The sequence below is a fragment of the Homo sapiens genome, chromosome 10 (genome assembly GCF_000001405.40).
Source record: "Homo sapiens chromosome 10, GRCh38.p14 Primary Assembly".
NCBI lineage: Eukaryota > Metazoa > Chordata > Mammalia > Primates > Hominidae > Homo > Homo sapiens.
In genome coordinates, this window is record NC_000010.11 from 49,620,105 (window position 1) to 49,644,709 (window position 24,605).

At 48.4% G+C, this 24,605-nt stretch overlaps 1 protein-coding gene across 7 annotated transcripts in view; it reads left to right on the forward strand.

Annotated features, from left to right (window-relative positions):
- Window positions 1-24,605, forward strand: part of CHAT (choline O-acetyltransferase) — a 58,848-nt gene that overhangs the window by 11,010 nt on the left and 23,233 nt on the right. For all 7 annotated transcript variants that reach the window (NM_020984.4, NM_020985.4, NM_020986.4 and 4 more), the window contains 4 exons: window positions 391-509; window positions 1,993-2,046; window positions 5,369-5,549; window positions 7,504-7,681. In NM_020984.4, the coding sequence (NP_066264.4) occupies window positions 391-509; window positions 1,993-2,046; window positions 5,369-5,549; window positions 7,504-7,681 (532 nt within the window). The remainder of the gene's footprint in view (window positions 1-390; window positions 510-1,992; window positions 2,047-5,368; window positions 5,550-7,503; window positions 7,682-24,605) is intronic.

Genomic DNA, 24,605 nt, shown 5'->3' on the forward strand with positions numbered 1-24,605 from the left:
AACAAACAAGATGAGGAATGGGAAATACGGATAGAGAAAGAGGCGGACAAATCGGGGACAGGAATTGGGACAGATGAGGACAGAGATCGCATTAGGAAAGAAGAGAGGGTGAAAGGCAGGAAGAAGACACCTGTAAGGACAGGCAGAGGACAGCGATGTAGCACCAAGCCACCAGGATGGGGACTGGGACAGAAGAAAGGAGACAGGAGGGCACAAAGGTGAAGGACAGGCCTGGTGGACTGGGAAGCTCCTGGCACATACCTGGGGCTTAGCATATATTTGTGGAATGAATGAATTAATGCTCTGGTGAAGTGTCCCGATTTTCTCTCGGGGCTGTCAGGATGGGACTGTTTGGGGGGATGTGACGGCCTTCCCTGCCCTCCCCGGCAGGTGTCTGAGTACTGGCTGAATGACATGTATCTCAACAACCGCCTGGCCCTGCCTGTCAACTCCAGCCCTGCCGTGATCTTTGCTCGGCAGCACTTCCCTGGCACCGATGACCAGCTGAGGTGAGGCCTTGGTGCTCCTAGCTCATAACCTGGGGACCCACCCAAGGCAGGGGCCCTTACCCCAGTGCCAGCAAAGAAAGGCCAAAGCTGGAGCCTCGGCTGAGCTTCCTGGGGTCAAATGCCCCGAGACAGTGGACGTCCAGGCCATCAGGTGGGGAGCAAGGTTAGGTGTGGCTGCACTCGAGTGACAATCACACAATTAGCCTTAGTCTATATTTATCTTGCAGTGGAATGGACACTCATGGAGGTCATGGGTCCAAATATCCCCACAGCCTCCACCTGGCTGAGGCCCTGGGAGGAGGCGTGTGTCCCTGGACCACGCCAGTACTTGTCCCTGGGAAACACTGCCCCAGGCTGTCTGAGAGGGCCTCTGCTTCCTTCCAGAGCCCCCAGCTCTAAACAGAGGCCCCAGAAGGCTGGAAACAATTCCTCCCTGCCAGCAGCCAGAGCCTGTGCCATCTGCTGTAATTTCAGAGCTCACTGAGCCGTTGGAAGGGCCTCTGGCCGCTAATGACAATGGAGGATGGGTGCAGGGAGAAAGGGTTTCCCTTCTGGAGTCACTCAGAGTCTGGTCTTAAGACCTGAGTGGGGCAAATGGTGGGGACGGTTTAGAGGGAGGGCAGACCAAAGTGGCCCGAGGACAAGAGGCAGGGCCCACCTCTCCTCTGGGCAGGGCTTAGCCATGCTAGGAAGACCTCCCCACCCCACCCTACCAGCTGGCCAGCCTTCCCTCCCACTGTAGCTGGGGTCTCCCCAGGGAAGAAGGAAGGTGTGGACAGATGAATGACTTCTGAAAACAGTTCTCACAATTGCATCTGAGGGGGTATTTTCCTCCTGGTGCAATTAAGCCAGGCCCAGAATCCTGGTATGACAGTTCCCGCTGCTCGTTTCTCCAGTGCCTTTCCCCAAGCACTCGATTTCCTTTTCATTAGTACCGGGGGGTGGGAGGAAAGGGACCAAATTACTGGCTTTTCCCAGGAGAAAATTTTCCACAAGGCCAGGGGTCCTGCCCTGTCCAGACCCAGGGCTGGCTTTTCCAAGGAAGAACTCCACCCTTCACCCTCCACCCCTTCTGGCCTGCTCTGTGGCCTCTCCTAGCTTCCGTCTCCCTCTCTGCTCCCTCTCCTCTTCAAGATGATTCCAGTTTCCTCTCCCTTCCCCAAGAGCTACTCGACCCCCAGTTCTCACCAAAGGACCATTTTGAATCCAAGGCTTGTGGTGGGCTCTCGGCATGGGGCTGGGGGGCAAGAACCACATCTGATTAGTGCAGGAACCACATCTGATTAGTGCACACGGGGGCGGCATACAATGGGCGATCACAGAGTTTGGCAGTGGGGATGAGGGAGGGAGGAGGGAGGGAGAAGGGAGGGAAGAGGAAGGAGATGGAAGGAAGAGGGAAGGAGGGAGGGGAGGCAGAAGGGAGGGAGGGAGGGAGGAAGCCAGGCCCTGGGAGGAAGGGCTCAGGCCTCCCTTCTCCCTGCAGGTTTGCAGCCAGCCTCATCTCTGGTGTACTCAGCTACAAGGCCCTGCTGGACAGGTAGGACTGGGAGGGTGGTGCCCTGTTCCAGCACAGTCTGCCTATGCGTCTATCTCCCTTGCAGGGACCTTGTCTTTTTCCAGCTCTGTATTCCCATTCCTGGCTCCTGGCACAGAGCAGATGTCCCTGCCCCAACCCACTCCCCCACCATCAGGATGACCTTTAGCCTGGCTGGCCTGTCTGTTAACTGTTCCTTTTCCTGTGGCAAGCACCATCCTTCCTTGATCTTTTAAAAATGTCTCCTCCCTCCACACATACGTGCACAGGTGGAGTGAATTCACTTGAAGCTGGAGAACACATAGGAAGGCGGGGAAGGAAGAGTTGTTAGAGTAAGGTGATGGGAGTTCTGCTTTGCCACTTGGAGGAATGGTGTCTCCAGCGGGAGACTGTATCCTCAATCCCACCAAGCTCAGTGGACATGAGGCTGTTCTGACAGATGGAGAGGGCTGCTCAAGCACCGCAGGCTCTCTTTGATTTTAGGAAGAAAGTCCCTCTCCTGGCCAAGCTTAGGAGAGCAGGAGGGTGTCTGAGAGCAGCAGGGAGAGTAAGCGGGTCTGGAGGACCCAAGTCTCTCAAGGTAGAGACTATAAGGGCATTAGAAGCTGGAAGGAGAGAGAGAGGCCCAAAGAAGCATCCCTTGCACAGATGAGGAAGCTGCAGCTCAGAGAGGTTAAGTAACTCATCCATGGTTACACAGCCAGGTGGTGGCAGAGCAAGGAGGGGGCAAGGGGCAAACTTCACTCTTTGTTCAACTTGACTCAATTCAGTCTTTACCCAGCCTTGGGACAGAGGCTCAGACCCACAGCCCCTTCCAGGGTAGGGCTGTTCCCTCTGGAGAGGGGCAGGCAGAGCTCCCAGACTGTCAGGGTGGAGCAGTTCAGGCTGTCCAGGGCATTCTGCACCACACGCTCCTGTGTGCTCTGCTCACTCCTCTCTAAATGCCATGGGTCACTAGGCCCTGGGCTGTTGTCTCCTCATGGTGTGTCTTTGGTCTCTCCCTTCTTCGTGGACAGCATTCTATTTCCTCCCAGAACTCGCCCCTCCAGCTCACCGTCCTGTCTGTTTTCAAACACCATTGTCTTGCTGGGCCTGGGGACTTGGTGCCCATTCATCACTGACTGCCCCCACGAGACCACTTTCCTTCTGATCCCAGACTTTCACATGTGTGTGCACACTCACACAGACACGAATACCCATGCATATCCACGTGGAGGTTCCCATGTCCAATGATTGAAAAGGACTTAAGACTGGAACATTTTCCTGAGTGCCTGTTTTGAACCTTTAATTAATTAATTAATTAATTTACTTATTCACTTTGCAATGTAGTTATGCTGGGAAGAGGAAGAGAAATAAGGCCTCATCCTCCCCTCAAAATGTCCTTAGACTATTGGGCAAGACAGTCACTTAAACAGACACAAAATACAGCTGTGTCCCTTCCCCTGAGTCCCACACTCGCTCATCCAAGCCTCAGCCATCCCCACCGGGGTGTCTCTCAGTCATTACAAATGAGCCAGGAGAGCTTCGCCTCTCCCTCCCCATTCCCCAACTCCTCCCATACCTTGTCGAGCCATGTCCGTAAGTGCACCAGCACATGCCCTGTTGGTGAGTCTGGGAACCTAGAAGTCACCTGTGCTTGTTCTGCTTTCTCCCTTGCACCTTCATGTAACCCATGGTGCTCAGATGTGGTCATTCTCCCTCCCCACTGTGTCCCCAAGCTCCCTCCTCCTTCCCTGCTGCCCTCACAAGACATCACGTTCCTTCTCTGCCACAACCTCCTTCCTTGTTCTTCCTGTGACACCTTTCAGTCCATTCTCCCCATATAAGCAGGGTCAGTAAAACAACAAAATGGAAACCCAGTCATGCCCCTGCGTGCTAAAGCCTCCCAAGGGCTTTCACTGCACCAAGAATAAGGCGATAGCTCCTCTCCACTGCCACTGGAGCCCCACAGGACCTGGCCTGCCCACCTCTCTGGCCCTGTCTTCACTGGGCCTCAGCCCCACTGGCTTCTCTCTGCCTTTGATCAGTGCTTCTCAAGCTGCCTCTGGGGAAGAACCAATATATTTTCTTTCATTTTGTAAAATTTGTGAAAAACAACAAAAAATTGATTACTAGAAAAACGGTATGAAATATGAGACCAAATGTTTTATTACAGGATTCAACAGACATAAAACTCCCATCACATTGCTACAAACATTTCTGGGTTCAGGCATTACACCAAGTCATGGGTCAGTCACAGCAGTTCAGTGCAATACTCATACTTTGAGTTGCAGTGCTTTGGGACACTTCACCCTTAGGGCTCAGCTCAATCAACCTGCCTCAGTGAGACTGCCCCTGGTCACCACCTCCTGTCCCTGCCAACACTCTGTCTCACTACCTGACAGTCTCCTGTTCACTGGTTTGCTGCTTGTGGTCTACTCCCTACCTACACATCCTAGGACTTACACCCCAGTAGAGCAGGAGCTGCATGTCTTATTTGCTGCCATATCCCCACATCCCAGAATGGTGCCTGGCCTATACGGAGGACGTGCTTCACAAATATTTGTTGGCTGAAAGAGTGGAAGGAAGGAAGGATGGATGGACGGATGGATGGATGGATGGATGGATGGAAAGATGGATGGATGGTGGATAGATGGGTGGATGGTGGATGGATGGGTCGATGGAAGGATGGATGGATGCTTGGTGGATGGATGGGTGGATGCAAGGATAGATGGATGGTGGATAGATGTGTGGATGGTGGATAGATGAGTGGGTGGTGGGTGGAAGGAGGGATGGATGTTTCGTGGTAGAAGTATGGTAGATGTATGGATATATGGATGGATGATGGATAGATGGATGGGTGGATGGATGGAAGAAAGGGAGGGAGAAAGGAAGGATAGGCACAAGGCATGCTGAGACCAGAGGGAAAAAGAACTTCCTGCATTGACCTCAGAAGAGGCTTCTAAAAGAGATGATAAAGGAGTAGGCTCTTGAAGGAGGGGAAGGAGTTTTCTGAATAGAACAGTTGAGTTCTGGGGTTGGGGCAAAGGCACGCCGAGAGAAGATCAGCATAAGCAAAGATGCAGAAGGCTAACTGGCAGGCTTTGCACATGCCGTGCATGAGGCAGAGGTTTGAGAAAACTCTGAGGGTCTCCACGTGTTGTGGAAATGGGGCCTCCACTACTTTAAAAAGTGGAGAATTGAGCTCTGCATCTGCCATGATGATGCAGTTCTGGGTTCTGTGCCCCATTTTGCCTGATCAAGTTACAATAAAACCCATTCTCTGTCTCCCCTCACCACCCACCATCCCCTCGTGGCTGCCTCCCTTCCCACTCCTCTCCTTCAGCCACTCCATTCCCACTGACTGTGCCAAAGGCCAGCTGTCAGGGCAGCCCCTTTGCATGAAGCAATACTATGGGCTCTTCTCCTCCTACCGGCTCCCCGGCCATACCCAGGACACGCTGGTGGCTCAGAACAGCAGCATCATGCCGGAGCCTGAGCACGTCATCGTAGCCTGCTGCAATCAGGTAAGCAACCCCTTGTCTTGGTGAGGGAGGGCACAGAGCATACAGTGGCCATGCGTTCACGTCCATTACCTTCTCCGAGGGGGCTCAGCCTCCTTCCCTGAGTCACACAGGGAGCTGGGGCACCATGTCTCCAAAGTGGGGCCCCTACTTCCAGTCAGTCCCATGTCTCTCCACCAGTTGCCTTCTAAGAATGAGAGCCGTCAGTTTGAGAATATCCTCACTGGACTCTCACTTCAGCACTGATGCACTGAGGGTCATGATCGAGACCTCCACCTGTACATCTGTTCTTTTCCATGCAGTCACCCAGGCTCTGGCCTTTCTGGAGACCACACACAGACAGACAGTGTTACAGACTGACAAATAGGACCTTTCATGTGTCAGCCTGTGGGCTCAGCACTTAACATGCATTCATCCCACTTAATCCTCACAGTGACCATGCAGAGGGGGCCTTAGGATCTCTGTGTGACAGTTGAGGACATGAGACTCAGACAAGTTAAGTGGTCTGTCCAAGAGTGGGAAGGAATCCTGGGTCTGGCCAGTGCCCTAAGGTCATGCTCTACCCCCTGCAGCTCAGGTCCTCAGACTGGGTTCCACAGAGCCAACAAGGACCCATGGGTCCTGGGGGACAGGCTGAGCATGAGGGCTCCTGACCTCTTCCCTGTGCCCACTGCACTATATATTCCATATATTGAGCTTCACATAAATATTTCCTCTGACAAACAGTTTTGTTTTTGTTTTTGCTTTGCTAAAACCCAAGTTTGGCAACCATCCCAGGGACTCCCCTGGTACTTGCTCTACAATGTGATCCTGGGCTCTCCTCACATTTTTAGTAAGTTGGGAGCTCTGTGGAGCCCTGACATCTGAGGGCAGCTGTGACCTCTGTTCCTAGATTTGAAGGCCATCTAGGAGCTCTCGCAGCCCACCTGACACCTTGGCCATAGACCAAGGACGTTTCCCCATCTTCATTCAAAAGTCAAGCCAAGTATTTCCCAGCTCCCACAGGCCACCGTATCCACCTCTTCCAGACATGCTCTGGGCCCCTGCACAAGACCAGGCCATACAGACACTGCTAGGGGGTTGGAGGGGAAGGGAAAACAAGGTACTCATGTCAATCAGCTGAAAAGTGTATCTTGACCTGGGTCTAGGAATAGACCCTTCACAAAGCCCAAGGCTCTAGCCTTCAAAGCTACAAAATGACAAAACCACAGGGCTGACATACAAAGCACATGTAGGTATACATGTGAAGGTGCACACACATGCACACATGTGTAGGTGCACATGCACGCATGGTGTGTGTTGGTTTTCCATTTTAATCTTCCTCTGCATATGATTGCTGGCTTGCTTTTTTTCCTCCACTCACCAGTGTGTTTAAGGCCCATCACTGTGGCTCTATCTGTTGCTAATTCACTCTTTTCAATGGCTGGGTAGACATGCCCTAGACATATACACCACATTTCACTTAGCCATTCCCCTTCTGGAGAACAGTGAGGCTCTTGCTACCATTTTGCTGTTGCAAACAAGGCCGAGAGGCACATTCCTCGTGTCTTCCGGTACACACGGGTACGTTTCTCTAAGCCTCAGGCTAAAATATGCATTTATAAGTGCAATTGCTTAGTCATAGGTATGCACATTTTTAGTTTTGATAGACACTGCCCTCCAACAGTAGCTGTGCCAATTTATATTCCATTCCCCACAAACATAATGGATTCCGTGAACCATGAAACACATTTTCTTTTGGCTAAGTTTAATGTTGCCTTCTTTGATTGGGGGCAGCGTGGAATCCAGCACAGTCAACAGCCTTGGCTTGGTCCCTAAACTGAGACTAGAACCACCAAACACCTTGGGAACCTTGGGCCTGAGCATCCCTGCCCCAAGCTTACCTGTGAAGGCTGAGTGAAGGCCTGGTGCCACGGGCCACCCAACAAGTGACATGTTTGACCTGTTTACCCCACAGTTCTTTGTCTTGGATGTTGTCATTAATTTCCGCCGTCTCAGTGAGGGGGATCTGTTCACTCAGTTGAGAAAGATAGTCAAAATGGCTTCCAACGAGGACGAGCGTTTGCCTCCAATTGGCCTGCTGACGTCTGACGGGAGGAGCGAGTGGGCCGAGGCCAGGACGGTCCTCGTGAAAGGTCAGCCGCAGTGCCCAGCACATCTCCATGCCCATCTCATGCTCGTGCCCATTGGCTTTCCCTCCTCTAGGGTTGGGCCAGGGCCTCATCCCCATCAGCCATAGTGTGGGAGCTCAGGGCCCACAGCATGCCCTGCGGCCAGCCACAGTGCCTTGCCACCGAAGCCACCTTTTGTGCCCTCGTGTTCCATCTGACAGTATCTGGCTTTCTTGGTGGGACTAACTAGTGCTGGAATTGGGGATGTCTGAGAATACTGGGCGGGGCGGGGGAGTTAGCTGGAGGAAGGCTGGCTGCAAGTGAGCAGGTGTGTTTTCCTGGTGGGTGGCGCTCACTGATAGTGGCTGGGGGAGTCGCTGAATGGGGGTGTGGGATGGAGCCTGCCTCTGGGAAAGTGGTTCACCACCTCTTTCACCTGATCTCTCCATCCTGGGACTCTTCATCTTCAAGCTGTCCCTTATCTTGTGGCACTGTTCTGATGAAAGTCTCCAAGCATTCCCATAAGAAAGCCAGGAATATTCTTGAAAATTTTTCATCACCCTTCTGGAAACTACTTTCAAATCCAAAGCTGGTCCTATTCCAGGAGCTGATGGAATGCTCTCCTTCCTTGCCCATGTTAGAGACACTGGATGAGAAGCAAGACTTCTGTGAGTCTTTATTTACCCCTCAGAATTTTACTGGGTCAGGCAATCTATTCAGACTCTCCACATCTGTTACTGAGGGCCCTGGGCTTGGCTCAGGGAGTATGGGAGACAAAGGAGTTGAGGCCTCTACCCAAGAGCAGCCCCATGATGGGAACAGGAAGAGGGGGCATGGGGAGGAGACTCACATCCAGGTGCATGCAGTGCTGACCCACTTCAGACAGGCGTCAAAAACGTGCTCCAGGACTTCAGAGAGGGGACGGAGCCCTTCCGAGTGGGATTGTGAAAGGCTCTGTTAGAAGAGGTGGGAATGGAACAAAGCCCCATGGCATGAGTGAGAAAGGCTGGAGGGAAGGATGGTACCCAGGCAGGCAGACCAACCCTGGGCAAAGCCCGAGGCCCAGCAGGGACACACCCACCTTACCCCCAGGGTGAGGAGGAGAATAGCTGCCCAGCAAAGGTGGCCTGAGCCGGATGTACTGGGCCTATTTTTTCTAACAGCCACTTGCATTTTCTGGTCTCTCTCTAGAAGGGTCTTCCCCCAGATCCAGCTGGCTCCTTGCCGCACGCAGAGCTCAGCCCAGGTGTCCGGCCTCAGGCCTGCCTTGGGCATCCTTCCCGCACACTCTGTCACTGTGGCCCGTTCGCTTACCTTGACTCTGTTGCTCACTCTCTGAGGACAACTTTGCATTTGTTTGATAAATGCTGATTATCTGCCTTTCCCCCCACCTCCTACCCACTGCCTATAAGGTCAGAAGGACAGGGGCCTTGTCTGTTTGGTTTAATTTCTGAGAAACACAGTCTGGGCCCAGTTACATTTATTAAATAAAAGAGTGAAGGGTGATTAAAAATGCCAGGCCCCAGACTTATTCCCCGACTTACCAATTAATTATTCTTTCATCCAATTATTGGGCACCTCCTGAATGCTGTCATAAATAGGGGGCTGCAGGAGCCAAAGAGGGGTGTGAGAGCTGACTGCCCTCCCGGACCTAACCTCGTGCTGGAGAATTAATAACTTAGCATTCCGCAGTGAGTTAATTCCCTCGGGAGACCATGGTGTAATCAAATCCCACTCTTCTCCCCTTCAGGGACAGAGACAGGCATCAAAATAATCGCCTCTGCCTCCAGCATAGTTTCCACTTTATTAGCAGGCCAGGCCCAAGACACGCCCTTCAGGGCTGGCTGGATTGCCCCAAGGTCTGAGCACTTGGGCTGCAGATCAGAATTGATTTGTTAATGGCACTTGATCTGGCTTTCTGAATGGAAGTGCTGTTTCTGAGGGAAATGCGACAGAAAGGAGGGGACACATGCGCCTCCCCTTGGGTAATCCGATTAATCCAGTTAGCGCCAACTGTGTCATCTACACAACAGGAAACTGATCCTTCACAGATCCCCCCTCCCCAGAGCAGCCCTGCCTATGGAACAGAAACAGAGAGACCATTTACAAAATGATTTCGGTTTCCCAGTGAAAGAGTATGGCAGCTTGGGACAGGGTTGAGAGTGAAGATGGAGAGACCAGTGACGTCAAGGCCATTGAAAGCGAGAACAATTCCTGGGCTTTTTATCCGAGCCGTGAGTGGATGTTAGTGCCATTTAGTAAGATGGGAAACAGGGTCGGGGAGTGGGTACAGGATGGAGAAATCATTGCCACACATGTTGGGTTAGAGGTGCTTGGGTCATCTGGGTGGAGACGTCAAGCTTAATATATATGTTTGGAGCCCAAGGGAGAGGTCAGTACAGAGCAATAAATTTGAGGGACATCAGCGCATAAATGATCCTTAAAGTCATGGACCTGGGTGAGATAATCTAGAAACAGAAGAACAGGGAGCCTGGAGGTCAGGTAGAGAAGGATGCAAAGGGGATTGAGAAAGAGTAGCCCATGAAGTAAAGGAAAGCCAGAAGAGTCACAAAGATTCAAGACAGAGGGAACGGCCAGCCACATGGAATGCTGTGGAGAGCTGGAGGAGGAACAGGACACAGGGGACCCGGCTTGGCAACCCTGAAGTTGTCACTGGGCTTACTGAGGGTCAGACTGGAGTAGCAGGAGAACAAATGCTTGCACACTGACAGAAGTGATCCAACAGCAGAAAGAAATTGTCGATGAGGCAGTCAGTGAGTTGAACCAGTGAGTATGGTCGACTTTTTCTCAGACATTTTGACACTAAAAGGAGCAGAAAAATGAGGGAGTTGCTAAAAGAGGATGAGGGTCAAGGGAGGTGTTTTTAGGAGGAGAGACAAATGTATGGAAGGAATTTAGTAAAAGAAATTGATGAAGAGATAGGAGATGAATGGAGGGGTGGAATTCTTGCAAAGGCAAAAGGAGATAGAACTCAGAAAATAAGAGGCCTTTGGTTGGTACAGGGTGAAGTGGAAAGCTTGGGCCTGAGGCAGCAGAGGTAGGAGCATGCAGAGGCTCCCAACTGGTACCTCCTGGTCTCAGATCACAACCTTGAGATAAGAGGCGGGCAGTTGGATGTTGAAGATGAAATCGACTGTGTGAAATAGCCTCCTGGAAAGTGGGAAAGAAGACTTGAAAAACTTGATAAGATTTATGGACTGTGTTGAGCTCATATATGAAGGTTCAAAGTGATACATTTTAGGAGAGGCTAATTAACATTGTTATGTGATCTTCCCCACCAACGCTCAGCTCCTCAGGTTCAGCCAGAGTTGGTGAGTGTAACTGGTAGGGACGGTGAAGGTGTGGCCAAGAACGGTCATGCTGGAATCTGAGCTGAGTAAGGAAGTGTGTTCAAGTCTGCTCAGCAGGTTCAAGTCTGCTCAGGCAGCCGTAACAAAGTACCACAGACTGGGAGGCTTCAACAACAGACACCTGCTATCTTACAGTTTAGCAGGTGGGTTTCTCCTGACACCTCTCTCCTTGGCTTGTCGATGCCACCTTCTCTGTGTGTCTTCATGTGGTCTTGCCTCTGTGCGTATCTGCATCCTAATCTCTTCTTATAAGGTGACCAGTCATATGGGATTAGGCTTCACCCAAATGGCCTAGTGTAACTTAATTGTCTCTTTAAAGGTCCCATCTCCAAATACAGTTACATTCTGAGCTTCTGGGAGTTAGGACTTCAACACAGGAATTTTGGAACGACACAATTTGGCCCATAAGAGGAATGAAGTGACAGACAGGGTAAATGACAGATGGTGAGAGCATAGCAGGGCCGAGGGGTTTGGCCGTCTCAGTGACATGAGATGTGTTCAGTGGGTATCAGAGGATGTGAACTAGAAAGCCAGGAATGTGGTCAGAGTGTGGGATGCTTGAAACTGAGACTTTAGAGGTGGTGGGCTCATGGTAGAGAGAAGTTCCCAGATGTGATACTGGCCATGGGTGCAGGGGTGAGACTGTCAAAGGTGTGGAGATGGAGGAGTTGGGAGAGGAGGATGGAGACTGGGCGTCCACATGGATGCACATACTACCATAACGATGATTCCAGTAGCATGGGGGAAGCAGGTGAATTGAGAGCCCAGATATTCATGATGGGGACCTAGGAAGATATTGGCGCAGCACAGAAACAAGGGGGATGATGGTTATTGGGGGGGTAAAACCTAACAGCTCCAGCTCCAAAACAAAGTGGGATGAGGGAGGGGGAGTTGTTTAGAAGCAGGAACAGTAGAAGGAAGCTGTCTACCCCACCTGGCCCTGGGGTGCATGAGTGTGGAGGAAAACAACAGCATGCTTGAGAGGGTGGCAGGGGAGCGGGCACCTCAGGGGAGCACCCCTCGGGAAGTGCCACATTGCAGTTGAGGCAAAGCTGGGCAGACACCTACAGAAGAGTTTAGCCATGCAGGGGAATGGCCCGTCTGAGACAGGCATGAAGCGCTCCAGAAGGAGTAAAGGACAAGTGTGAGGACTGCATGCGCGTAGAGGACACATGGCCTGGGGAGTGGGGTGATGGGGGAGCCAGGGAGCCCCCAGGGTGGTTGCCTAGTGTGGCTGTTGGGGCTGAGGTGCTTTCTCACCCACAGCAGTATCCTGATTAACTCCACGGAAAGGGTTGAGCTATTTTAGGGGAGCATAGCTCCCAACCCTCTCAGCTGAAGCCCTAAGATCCTGCCCCCACTTCCTGGAGCCTGGGTACAGGGACAGTGCTCATGGGCACAGAGTCCAGGCAAGCACTCACTGGCAGGAGGCCTTGGCCAAGCTGAGCTCCTCTCAGCCTGGTGGAGGTCTAGACCAAGGAGACTGCGCTCAGATGAAACACTTCCCCGGATTCTCATGTGGTCAACTAAGGCCTGGGGCAGGGGCTTTTCCACCCCGACCCTCCATTTTATCAACCTCTCTCCTTCAAGACACTGCCCTTGAGCCTTCACCCTGCCCCCAACCAGGATGACTCCCTCCTGTGAGCCCCAGGCTGCTTAGCCTGACCCTCTGCCACGACACTGAGGGCATGAGGCCCACAGGGTTCCAGGGACTGCCAGGGTGGCACAGCCCACGCGCAGGGGAGCAGGGCTGCCTGCCGCACCCCTCAGCTCCAGCTCAGACATGGGCTCAGACACGGTGCAGGAGTGTGTGCACTGACATCAACGAAGGTGGCCTGATCATCCACAGGCCACTACCAGTGTCCTCTGGGGGCCCAAAGCACCAGGATACACAGGCTAAACCAAAGCAGCAATTCAGACAGATTCCTGAGGGGCTGGGAGGCCACGTCCACAGAGGAACTTGAAGCTAAAGCCAGGTGTGCTGAGGCCAGTGTGACTCAGCCCTAATTGCAGACTGGGGTTGGATGATGACATCAGGATTGTCTAGAGCATTCCTTAATAAAACAAAATAAAACAGATTCCCGGGCCCCAGTGCTTTTCCAGAGGGACAGAGTGGGGCCAAGGAATCTATTTTTATAGCACTCTGGTGTTTTCATGTGCAGGCCAGGCTGGGACCTGCTTACTCGGATATTAGCAGAGCATCCAGGTCCCCCTCTGGCTTGCTCTTTCCTGGGCACCTTCTGTCTTTTGTTACACCTGCGAGGTGGGATTTTATTCCCACTGAACCGAGGAAGAGGCTATGTCTGTCTCCTTTAGGGGTGGCCGGGGGTGAAGCAGGATCTGACACTGGAAGGGAGCATCTGCCTAGCCAGCCTGAGACCTGCAGTGCCAGGGAGGCCAGGTGGGATTCTGAAGACAGGCTTGGGGCCTCAGAGGGAGCCTGCACACCCTATTAGGACCTCCCTCCCCACTGCCTCGAAGCTGTGGCCTTCCTGAACCCAGGAGGAGCCAACCCGTTATCCTGGCCTGGAAATTTAATTAGACATTCAGCCCCGAGTCTGGGAGACTACAGCACTTGTCAATTTGTAGGAAAAGAATGGCCAGCTTGGAGAGCCCCCCAGCCCTCTGGCTTTCCTGGGTGCTGCCGTGAAGAGCCTGTGACCAGACCTCAGAGGCAGATGCTTTTCGTTTACACAGTCCCGTAAATATTTATCCCCGACAGTCAATTAGAGCTGAGCCACTGCTTGCAAGGAGGGAACTGACAGAAGGCGGCTACAGCTGCAGAAGGCCATGGTCATGGTTTACAAGAACCACTCAGGATGGGGGCATTTTGCTATTTACGTATCGTCATCCAGAGCTAGGCATGTCTGCTGATTTTAAAACCAATTACACATTAGCACTAACAGCCTCTCTGATTTAATTGGCCCAGAAATACCTCCCGAGCTCTCAAGACTGAATGTGATTTTCTTGCTCTGGAAAGGGGCTGGGCCAATGCCTCCCTCCTTCAGTAGGAGAATGAAGGCCTTTAGGGACAAGAGCATCCAGGCAGGAAAGGCAAGTGGTCCAGGGCAAGAGGCCTGCCCTTAACCTACCACGGCTGCTGTCTCCTGGGGCCTGGGCTTCCTAGTCTATATGAAGATAGCAGTCTGCCCTGTGGGCAGGACCAAGGGGATGGGCGGTAAAGCAGATGGGCTGGCGCCTGGCACACAGAGGGTGTTGGCTAAATGGTAGCTCTTATTAGATTTGGGGATCACGCTGGGGATGCTTTGCCCAATGCCCACAACCCCTCTGGAAAAATCTGGTGAACTTGAACATGAGTACTGTCCTTGTGGTCAGAGGCAGGGGCCCGTGGGCCCTCAGGCTGCTTTGCTCTTTGCATGGAATCCTAATCCCTATGAACTCTGTGGTGCATTTTGCTTTCCCTGGGCCCTCCACGTACCACTCTCTCTGTGTGCACACACACTGGGCTCCTCTCTTTACCTTCTCCCTAGTCACCATCTCTCTGGCCCTCGTTTTCCATTTTATGTGCAGCACAGTAATGTTTGGGGTACAAGATAGCTAGGAGGTGGTTTTTTTTGTTTTGTTTTTGTTTTTGTTTTTGTATCTCCTGCCTTTCTCCCCCACCATCCTTTCCCCCAGTTCTGGAAGCCTGACAGCTCTTTATACCCTCTGCCTTTGTGGGAAGAGTGGTTAGAACCCAGAAGAAAGAACACTTCTTGGTTCTTAAGTTCTTTTTTGAAATTAAATTGTACTTATTTTGGGATAACTGAAGATTAACATCCAGTTGTAAGAAGTAATACAGAGATCTCATATGTACCCATCTTCCACCAATGGTAGCATTTTCCAAAACTATAGTACAATATCACAACCAGGATACTGACATTGATACAGTCAAGATACGGAACATTCCATCACCACCAGGATCCCTCTTGCTGCCCTTTTATAACCACACCCACCTCACCCCCTTCTTAACTCCTGGGCAACCACAAATCTGTTCTCTATTTCAATAATTTTATTGCTTCAGGAATATTATATACATGAAATCATATAGCATGTATGATGCAGGGTCTGGCTTTTTTCAAACAGTATAATTCTCCGGATGGAGATTTATCCAAATCGTTGCATGTATCAACAGTTCTTTCCTTTTTATTGCTGAGTGATATTCCATGGTGCTAGGTATCAGTTTCTTTCATTGTTTACCCATCAAAGGACATCCGGGTTGTTTCCAGTTTTGAGCTATTAAAGCTACTGTGAACATTTGTGTACAGGTTTTTGTGTGAACCTATGTTTTCACTTACTGGAAGAAAATGCCCAGGAATGAAATTTCTAGGTCACACCATAATAGTATGTTTAGTTTTTTAAGAAACTGCTAAAATGTTTTCCAGAGTGACTGTACCATTTTACATTCCTGTCAGCAATATATGTATAATCCAGTTTCTATGCATCTTTGCCAGCATTTGGTGGTGTCACTTTTTTTTATTTTAACCATTTTGATAGGTGTGAAGACAATGCAATCCACCACATTAACAGACTAAAGAAAAAAATAACATGATTATATTAATCAATACAGTAAAAGCATTTGGCAAAATTCAACAACCATTCATGATAAAATCTCTTAGAGAACTAGGACCAGAAAGGAACTTGCTCGACCTGATACGGAACATCTACAAAAAGCTTATAGCTAACATCTTATTTAAAGGTGAAAGACTGAATGCTTTCCCCCTAAGATCAGTAATAAGAGGATACCTACTCTTACCACTCTGTTTAACACAGTATTGGAGTTCTGGCCAGTGCATTAAGGCAAGAAAAGGGAATAAAAGGGATACAGATCAGAAAGAAAAAAATTAAATGATCCCTACTTTTATGAAATGATTATGTATGTAGAAAATAGTAGCAAATCTACAACTCCAAAAACTCCTAGAATACATGAATTCAGCAAGGTTGCAATATAAAAGATTAACGTACAAAACTCAATTATAGTCTTTCGCCTTTAAATATGATGTTAGCTATAAGCTTTTTGTAGATGTTCTTTATCAAGTCAAGGAAGTTCCCTTCTGGTACTAGTTCAATAAGAGATTTTATCATGAATGGATGTTCAATTTTGTCAAATGTTTTTACTGTATCAATTAATGTAATCATGTTATTTTTTTCTTTAGTCTGTTAATGTGGTGGGCTACATTGATTGATTTTCAGATATTGAACCAGGCTTGCATCCCTGAAATGAGCCCCAGTTGGTCATGGTGTATAATTCTTTTCATATATTGCTTAATTCTACCTGCTAATATGTAGTTCAGTATTTTTTCCATCTATATTTGTGAGGGCCACTGGTCTATAGTTGGTTTGGTTTTTTGTTTGTTGTACTGTATTTATCTTCTTTTGGTATCAGGATACCTGTTTCGTAAAATAAATTGGGAAATGTTCCCTCCTCTTATATTTTCTGAAAGAGATTGTATAAATGTGGTATCAATTCTTCCTTAAATGTTTGGTAGAATTTTTCAGTGAAATTATTTGGGCCTGAAGATTTCTTTTTGGGGAGTTTTAATGTTGCTAATTCAATACCCTTAACTCATTTATGCCTAGTGTTCCATTATTAGAACGCTAAGCTTGTGGGAGTTATTTATGTCCTACTGCTTAAGGTCATCACCAAGGTCTGATTTTTCACACAAAAAAATTTGCAACCTCCAGCATAAACGGGTTAATAATTATAGGGCTATTCAAATAATCATAATATTCAATGCATTGTGGTAGTTTATACTTTTCAAGGGATTGGTCCATTTCATGTAAGTTGTCAGATTTATGTGTATAGAATTGTTCATAGTATCCTCTTATTATACTTTTGATGTCTGCAGGGTCTGTAGTGATATCCTGTTTCATTCCTGATATTGGTGGTTGTGTCTTTCTCCCTCTCTTTTTTTTTTTGTCAGTCTCTCTATGAATTTGATTGATCTTTTAAAATAACTACCTTTCTTTTTGTTGATTTTTTTTCCTGTTTTCAACTGTATTGATTTCTGCTCTTTATTATTTCCTTCATCTTGCTTGCTTTGGGTTTTTTTCTGCTCTTCTTTTTCTAGGTTCTTCAGGTAAGAAATTATTGATTTGAGACTTTTCTAATGTAAGCATTTAATGCTATAAATTTCCCTCTCATCAATACTTTAGCTATATCTCACAAATTTTCATATGGTGTATTTTAGTTTTCATTCATTTCAGTGTATTTTTTAAATTTCCCTTAAAACTCTGATATGGTTTGTCTCTAAGTCTCCACCCAAATCTCATCTCGAATTGTAATCCCCACATGTCAAGGGAGGGACCCGGTGAGAGGTGATTGGATCATGAGAGCGGTTTCCCCCATGCTGTTCTCATGACAGTCAGTGAGTTCCCAGGAGATCTGATGGTTTAAAAGTGCTTGGCAGTCCCCCCCTTGTTCTCTGTCTCTCCTGCTGCCATGGGAAGAAGGTCCTTGCTTCCCCTTCGCGTTCTGCCATGATTGTAAATTTCCTGATGCCTCCCCAGCCACGTGAAACTGTGAGTAAATCAAACCTTTTTATTCATAAATTACCCAGTCTTAGGCAGTTCTTTAGAGCAGTGTGAAAACAGACTAATACAGACTCCCTCTTTGACCCATTCATTGTTTAGAAGTATGTTGTTTAGTTTCCAAATGTTTGGAACTTTTTATGTTATTTTTCTGTTACTGATTTCTACTTTGATTCCACTGTGGTCAGATAACATATTTTGAATGACTTTAATTCTTTTCAATTTGTTGAGTGTTGTTTTATGGCCCTGGGTATAGTCTATCTTGGCATATGTTCGATGGGTATTTGAAGAGAATGATTGATGATATTGTTGATTTCTTCTACGTCCTTGCTGAATTTCTGTCTAGTCGTTCTAACAACTGTTGAGAGCGGTGTTACAGTCTCCAAGTACAATTGTGGATTTGGCTATTTCTCCTTTCAGTTCTGTCAGAGTTTGTTTAACATATTTTATAGTATGCTTGGTATAGATGCATTTAGGGTTGCCATGTCTTCTTGGAGGATTTATCCTTCACTTTTATATAATGCCCTTCTATGTCTCTGGTAAGTTTTCTTTGCTCTAAAGTGTACTTTACCTGACATTAAGATAGCCATTTCTGCTTTCTTTTGATTAATGTTTGCATGCTATATATTTTTCCTTCCTTTTACTTATAACCAAACTATATCATTATATTTGATGTGCACTTCTTGTAGACAGCATATAGCTGGGTAATGTTTTGTCGTATATTCCATCAATCTCTGTCTTCTAATTGGTGTATTTAGAACATTTACACTTTACATAATTATCGATGTGTTAGGGCTTAACTCTGATATTTTAGTTTTTATTTTCTGTTTTTCAATTATTGTTCTCTTTCTCTTGCCTTCGTGTGGGTTACCCGAACATTTTTTAGAATTCAATTTTGATATACCTGTAACTTTTTTAAAATTATCTGTTTGTATAGCTTTTTCTAACAGTTTCTGTAGGTATTACCTTGTATATACATAACTTATCACAGTTTATTAGTGTTGAAATGTTACCAGTTCTAGTGAAGTGTAGAAAGCTTACCACCTTTTATTCTCCTTTGTTTATAATACACTTGTCTTAAATATTATCTCTATATACATTTAGAACCACATCAGGCAATTTTATGATTTTTGCTTCAACATTGAAACACAGTTTAGAAGACTTAAAAGGAGAATGAAAATGAATTTATTTACTCAGATATTTACCTTTCCTATTGTTCTTTCTTTCTTCTTGATATTCCAATGTTTCTCTTTTTACCATTTCTTTTCTTTTAAAAAAAACTTTCTTAGGGACCAGCTGCAGTGGCTCACGCCTGTAATCCCAGCACTTTGGGAGGCTGAGGAGGGTGGATCGTGAGGTCAGGAGTTCAAGACCAGCCTGGCCAAGTAGAGACAAACCCTGTCTCTACTAATAATACAAAAATTAGCCTGGCGTGGTGGCAGGCGCCTGTAATCCCAGCCACTCAGGAGGCTGAGGCAGAGAATTGCTTGAACCTGGGAGGCGGAAGTTGCAGTGAGCCGAGATTGGGCCACTGCACTCTCCAGCTTGGGTGACAGAGCGAGACTCCATTTCAAAACACCAAAACCAAAAACAAACAAACAAAAAAACACTTTATTTAGCCATTCTTTCAGGATATGTCTGCTTGGCATAAATTCTCTTAGTTTTCCTCATATGAAAATGTTTTGATTTCCCCTTCTTCATTTCTGAAGGATATTTTTTCTTGATATAGAATTCTGGATTGATAGTTCTTTTTTTTTCAGCACTTACAAAATATTATGGCAATTCCTTCTGGTCTTCATGGTTTCTGATAAGAAAAAAAAAATCTGCTGTTGTCCTAGTTGCTTTTCTCCTATAGAATATATATATAGTATATATATACACACACACACACACACACACACACACATATGGGTGTGTGTGTCTATGTATAGATACATGTGTATATATGTATATCATTTCTCTCTTGCTGTTTTCAAGATTTTTCCTTTGTCTTTATTTTTCAAAAGTTTGACTATGATATGTTTTGGTGTTTGCTTCTTTGAATTTATCATGTTTGGGGTTAACTTACCTTCCTGAATCTTTAGATGTGTGTCCTTTGCCAAATTTGGGGATGCGTTAGCCATTATTTATCTGAGTCGTTTCTGCTCTGCCCTCTTTCTCCTCTCCTGGGAATTTGGTGACATAAACATCACCTTTTGTCTCAAAGGTGCCTTAGACTCTGTTCCTTTTCCCCCAGTCTAATCAGTGTTATTCCGTCTTCAAGTTCACTGATTCTTTTCTCTCCTCCCTAGGTTCTGCTGTTGAGTCCATCCACTGCGCTTTCTATATTGGTTATTCTATTATTCAGTCCTAACATTTCTATTTGGTTCTTCTTATATATTTTATTTTCTTGCTGAGAATTTGTTTCTTTGTGGAGACTTCTTTTCTTTTTCATTTGTTTCAAATATGTTAAAATTGCTTGTTGAGGCTTTTTTATGATTACTGCTTTTTATTTATTTTATTTTAATTTTATTTATTTATTTATTTGAGACGGAGTCTCACTCTGTTGCCCAGGCTGGAGTACAGTGGTGTGATGTCGGCTCAATGCAGCCTCCGCCTCCCGTGTTCAAACTGAGATTTTCCTAGTTCTTGGTAGAATGAGTGATTTTCTGTTGAAACTTGGATATATTGTGTTATAAGACTTGGGATCTTATTTAAGCTTGTTTTAACTGGCTTCCTCTGACACTGGTCCAGCAAGAGAATGGGGGAGGTTATAACGAGGTGGAGGTGGAAGCACAGGCACTTCACTGGGTCTCTGTTGACACCCTGGGGGAGGGGACTCCTTATTACTGCAGGGTTGGGGGGTGGAAGTTCAAGCTCCCTACACGGTCTCTATTAATGCTGTGTGGGGAAAAGGACGGAGGGCTGGTTATTGCTCAATGGAGATAGAATTCTCAGCTTCCATCTGAGACTGTGCCTTCTCTGATACCCCAGAAGCTGAGATGCCTCATTACTGACTGGTGATGGTAGACATCTGGGCTCTCCACTTGGCCTTTGCTGGCAAGGGTGCTGGGGGAGGGAGGGATGACACGGTTTTTCTCTGTGGTGTTTGGCTGAAGTAGAACGCTTATTACCTAAAAGTTTTATGTCTTGCTATTCTGATCCTTTGACTAGAGAGAGCAGGCTTTTGTTGATTATTTTGTTTGTTTGTTTGTTTGTTTTTAACTATACCCACTTGTGTTTTTACGTTGCTGGGTTCTTCAATGCAAATTGGATATTTCAGGTAAAAAACAAACCAAAACAACCCCACAGTGTATTAGTCTGTAGAGCTGGCATAACAATACCACAGAGTGGAGGCTTAAACAACAGACATTTATTTCTCACAGTTTTGGAGGCTGGAAGTCCAAGATGAAGGTGTCACAGGGTAGGCAACTACAAGCCACCTTCTCACTGTGTCCTCACATGGCCTTCTCTCTGTGCACACATGCTTGGTATCTCCTCTTCTTATGAGGACACCAGTTCTATTGGATTAAGACCTTATTTAACTTTATCTCTGTAAAGGCCCTCCCTCCAAATAGAGTCACACTGAGAGCTGAAGCTTCAACGTATGACTTTTCAGGGGACACAATTCAGTCCGTAATACCCAGAGAATCTGCTGCTATGATGTTCCTTGGGTCCTGAGGTCCCTGGCTGGTCTGCCTTCCTCTCGCCATCTTTCAGAGTCTTCTTACTTTTGTTTTGAATAAAATGTCCAAGTTTTTAGCGGGAGGAATGGGGAAAAGTATATGTTCCTGGAATCGGAAGACCCTCTATCCAGAGCTCTTTAAAGGTGCCTGATGTAACTCAAGTCAAAGCAGTTCTGTTTTGCAAGAGTGAGAAATACTTTTGTTTGAATTCTCATAGTCTCTGAGGACTGACAGCATAAAGATCACCCCCTAGGCCAGAGAGTCGGGAAGAATATGAGATGTGCGATGGCAGATTTACCTCCCAAAAGAAAAAAGTACTCCTTCATCAGGGGAGGAAAGATGCTGAGATAGGATTGGGAAAGGTTAAGAAGGTCTAAGCCCCTGAGAAAGATCCCAGTTCATCCATCTCCTGGACTGTGAGAAGGGGGATGGGCATGGCATAGAAATCTGACTTGTGCTAACTTCTCAGGGAATAGATCAGAGCAAGCAAAGGCAAGTGTCCCAAAGAGGGTGGTATATGTCCGGGGGTACTTGTGCACAGTAGTGCACATTAAAGAACATCTCCTGAGTCTTGCAGCCCTGCACAGAGAGAGATACCAGGTGCTATTTTGTCTGTGCTCATCAGAGTCTCAGCCTGTAAGCTTCCAACCTCTAATGCCAGCCTCAGGGCTCCCCGAGGCCTCCTGGCCTCTGGAATTTCCACACTACCAAAGCTGTCAGCTCCCTCCTTGGGCATGGGTGTCAGAGCAGGCTCCTCCTATTACTCAATCCCCACCTCTCACTATTACGCCGGGCTCCTTGAGGAAGATTGATTCGCCACTTTAAAGGAGCCTCGATGTGCTCGATGAGGATGCCACAAGACAAATGGCTCCTGCCGTGCGCCTTCAGCCCGTTGTCCCATGTTTCCATTACATTTGGGCCACAGTCATGGTGGATGAGCTTGGGTGTAGTGCTCATTTTCTGCCTTACATGATAAACTTGTCAGCATTTGACTGATCAGCTACTTATATGCAGGGAGTTCATTTGCAAGGCCACCTGGCTCCCCGCTCTGTTGTCCTGCTCCCATTTTACCCTGTCTAATGAGCCAGGACCTGGTTCCTGTTGGGCAGCGCTGGGCTCCTGGGCCCTGCAGAGCCTGCACATGATGGCAAGGCCTCAGTGCCTCCTCACAATCTGCCTCCCCTGCCTGGAGGTGACAAGGGCAGTGATGCCCAGGGAGCCATTCTTTCCTGCTGCCAGCCTTGCATTGCCCAGTTAAAAAGGAGTGTGCCAGGCCTCCACTCTCCTGCCTCGAGCCTGCATCAAGGCCTGCTCTCAGCCTCCTGACTGAGCAGGCATGCTGTGGGCTGCCTCAGGAGCTGCAGTCTGCCCACTCCACACTGGCTTTGGGGCTGTTTTTAAGGATCGCTTAGTGAAGGCAGCTACTAAGCCAGGGCTCTCAGAGTTCACCCTGAGGTATGGCCAACAGGAATGAGGTGTACAGCATTCAAGCTGCCTATGGCCCCGGCTTGGCTGGCCTTCAGGCCCATGCCTTTCCCAAGCTGCCAGGTATCCTAGACTCTGCTCTGACCACACTGAGCTCTTCCATGATCCTTCAGCACTCCCTGTTGTTGCTGGCTGAAGTCACATGACTGAGCTGGGCATTCATAGCCCTTGTTGATGAACCTGAGCACTGGGGTTGGATGCCTGAGATCAAACCCAGCTCCCTCCACTTAGTGGATGATTATTATCATCCGTGTTTACAAGAGAAACCTTGTAAATGGCCTAAGGTCAAGATATTTGGTTTCTCTGGTCCTGACCTGTAAATGAGGCATGACAATGATACCTATCTTATATGCATCAATATGCATGTTTAGATTGATATTTGGCACATAGTAGGTGCTCAACAAAGGTTAGCTAATAGCATCACATCATTATGTTCTTCCAGCCCCACCTAAATCCTGCATGCCCTCACCCATAAGCTGGAGGTCAAGCCGATCACTCACAAGCTCTGCTTACAAGCCTGGGGATCTGTTCTCCGGCCATCCAAACCACTGTCCCACCCTCCATCCACCACCCTGCACTACTATACACCTCCTGGCATGCCTCTCCCTTCTTCTTTGCTGATCTGAACCTGACCCAGACCTGGCCAAGGCCTCCCCGGGGCTCTGAAGGCACTGGCTAGCCTGAGCCTGCAGGGACCAGTAGCACAGCACATAGTGCAGGGCGAGCACTATGGCCATCTGCAGGGATGCCTAAGGAGGGGAGAAGGGCAGAGCAGGGAGCCTTGCAAGGGGGAAGAAGCCCTACCTTGTCCCAGCCTCACCCTACCCCCACTCCCCCATCAATTCATGAAGCTCAAAGCCTCAAAAGTAGTTGGGTTTTGCCCTTCATAAGGACATGGCCTTTCCCCTTCCCATTAGCCAGCTGGACACCTCCAGGCCCCCTGTCTGAACTGGGTCCACAGATCCCAGCCCTACTTTGCCCAGGCCAAGGGAAGCACACTAAAGTCCATTACCCAGCATGGACTGTGCTTGCCTTGTTCAGGAGGCCCAGGCCCCACCCTCAGTGAGTGCTGATATGGGGGAGGGGACCAGACCAGGGGTCCAGGGGCTGCAAGTGCTGACTGTCCAAAGCACGGTGGTCTGGGAATGGCATTGGGGTCATGTGCTGTGCAGCAGGGGCTGGTGGTCAGGGATTGGGGGGCACCTCTGGGCTCAGGTGCTGTGTGAGGCTGGCCTGACAAGAGTGCAATTCCACATCTGCACTGAGCAAGCTGTGGAGGCCACGTGCTCAGGGTGTTAGGAGTCCTCCAGGGCAGGGCTGGTACTGCCAGAGGATGAGGGAGCTCAGGGAGGGCTGTCATAGACAGAGGAGGAGAAGGGCCTTGTCCTGGGCACAGCCTGCGTGATGATGAGGAGATGGGATGTCCACAGGATCAGGGAGGGGCAGGAGGTTGTCTGTGAGGTCCACGCAGGGATCTAGGGTGGGAAGGAGGTGGCCATGGAGCCCACGGTGCCATGTTTAGAAATTTGGATTCTCCCTTGTGGGCGGTAGAAGCTGTTTCAAGTTCTAAGAGGGTAATGTGGTGACTGCACCTCCTTAAGGAGCTTACAGGAAGGGGAGTTTCCCCAGGGCCTGGGCTGGCTCTCATTTATGCTTAGATCCTCAGGGCATGGCCGGATCCTTGATGCTGATCAGACTGAGGCAGGGAAGCCCAAGAGGCCATGCAGAGAGTGAGGAGGCATCCTGCCCTCATAGGGACGAGGAGGGGTTCTGAAAGCACAGGGCTCCCAAAGCCTCATCCTCAACAGGAGGGAAGAGAGGATGTCCCAAGGCTAGGCTGGCTTCCCAGAGTAGAAGGTCTGCTGTGGGAGACATCTCCTTCCCCAGGATTTGCAA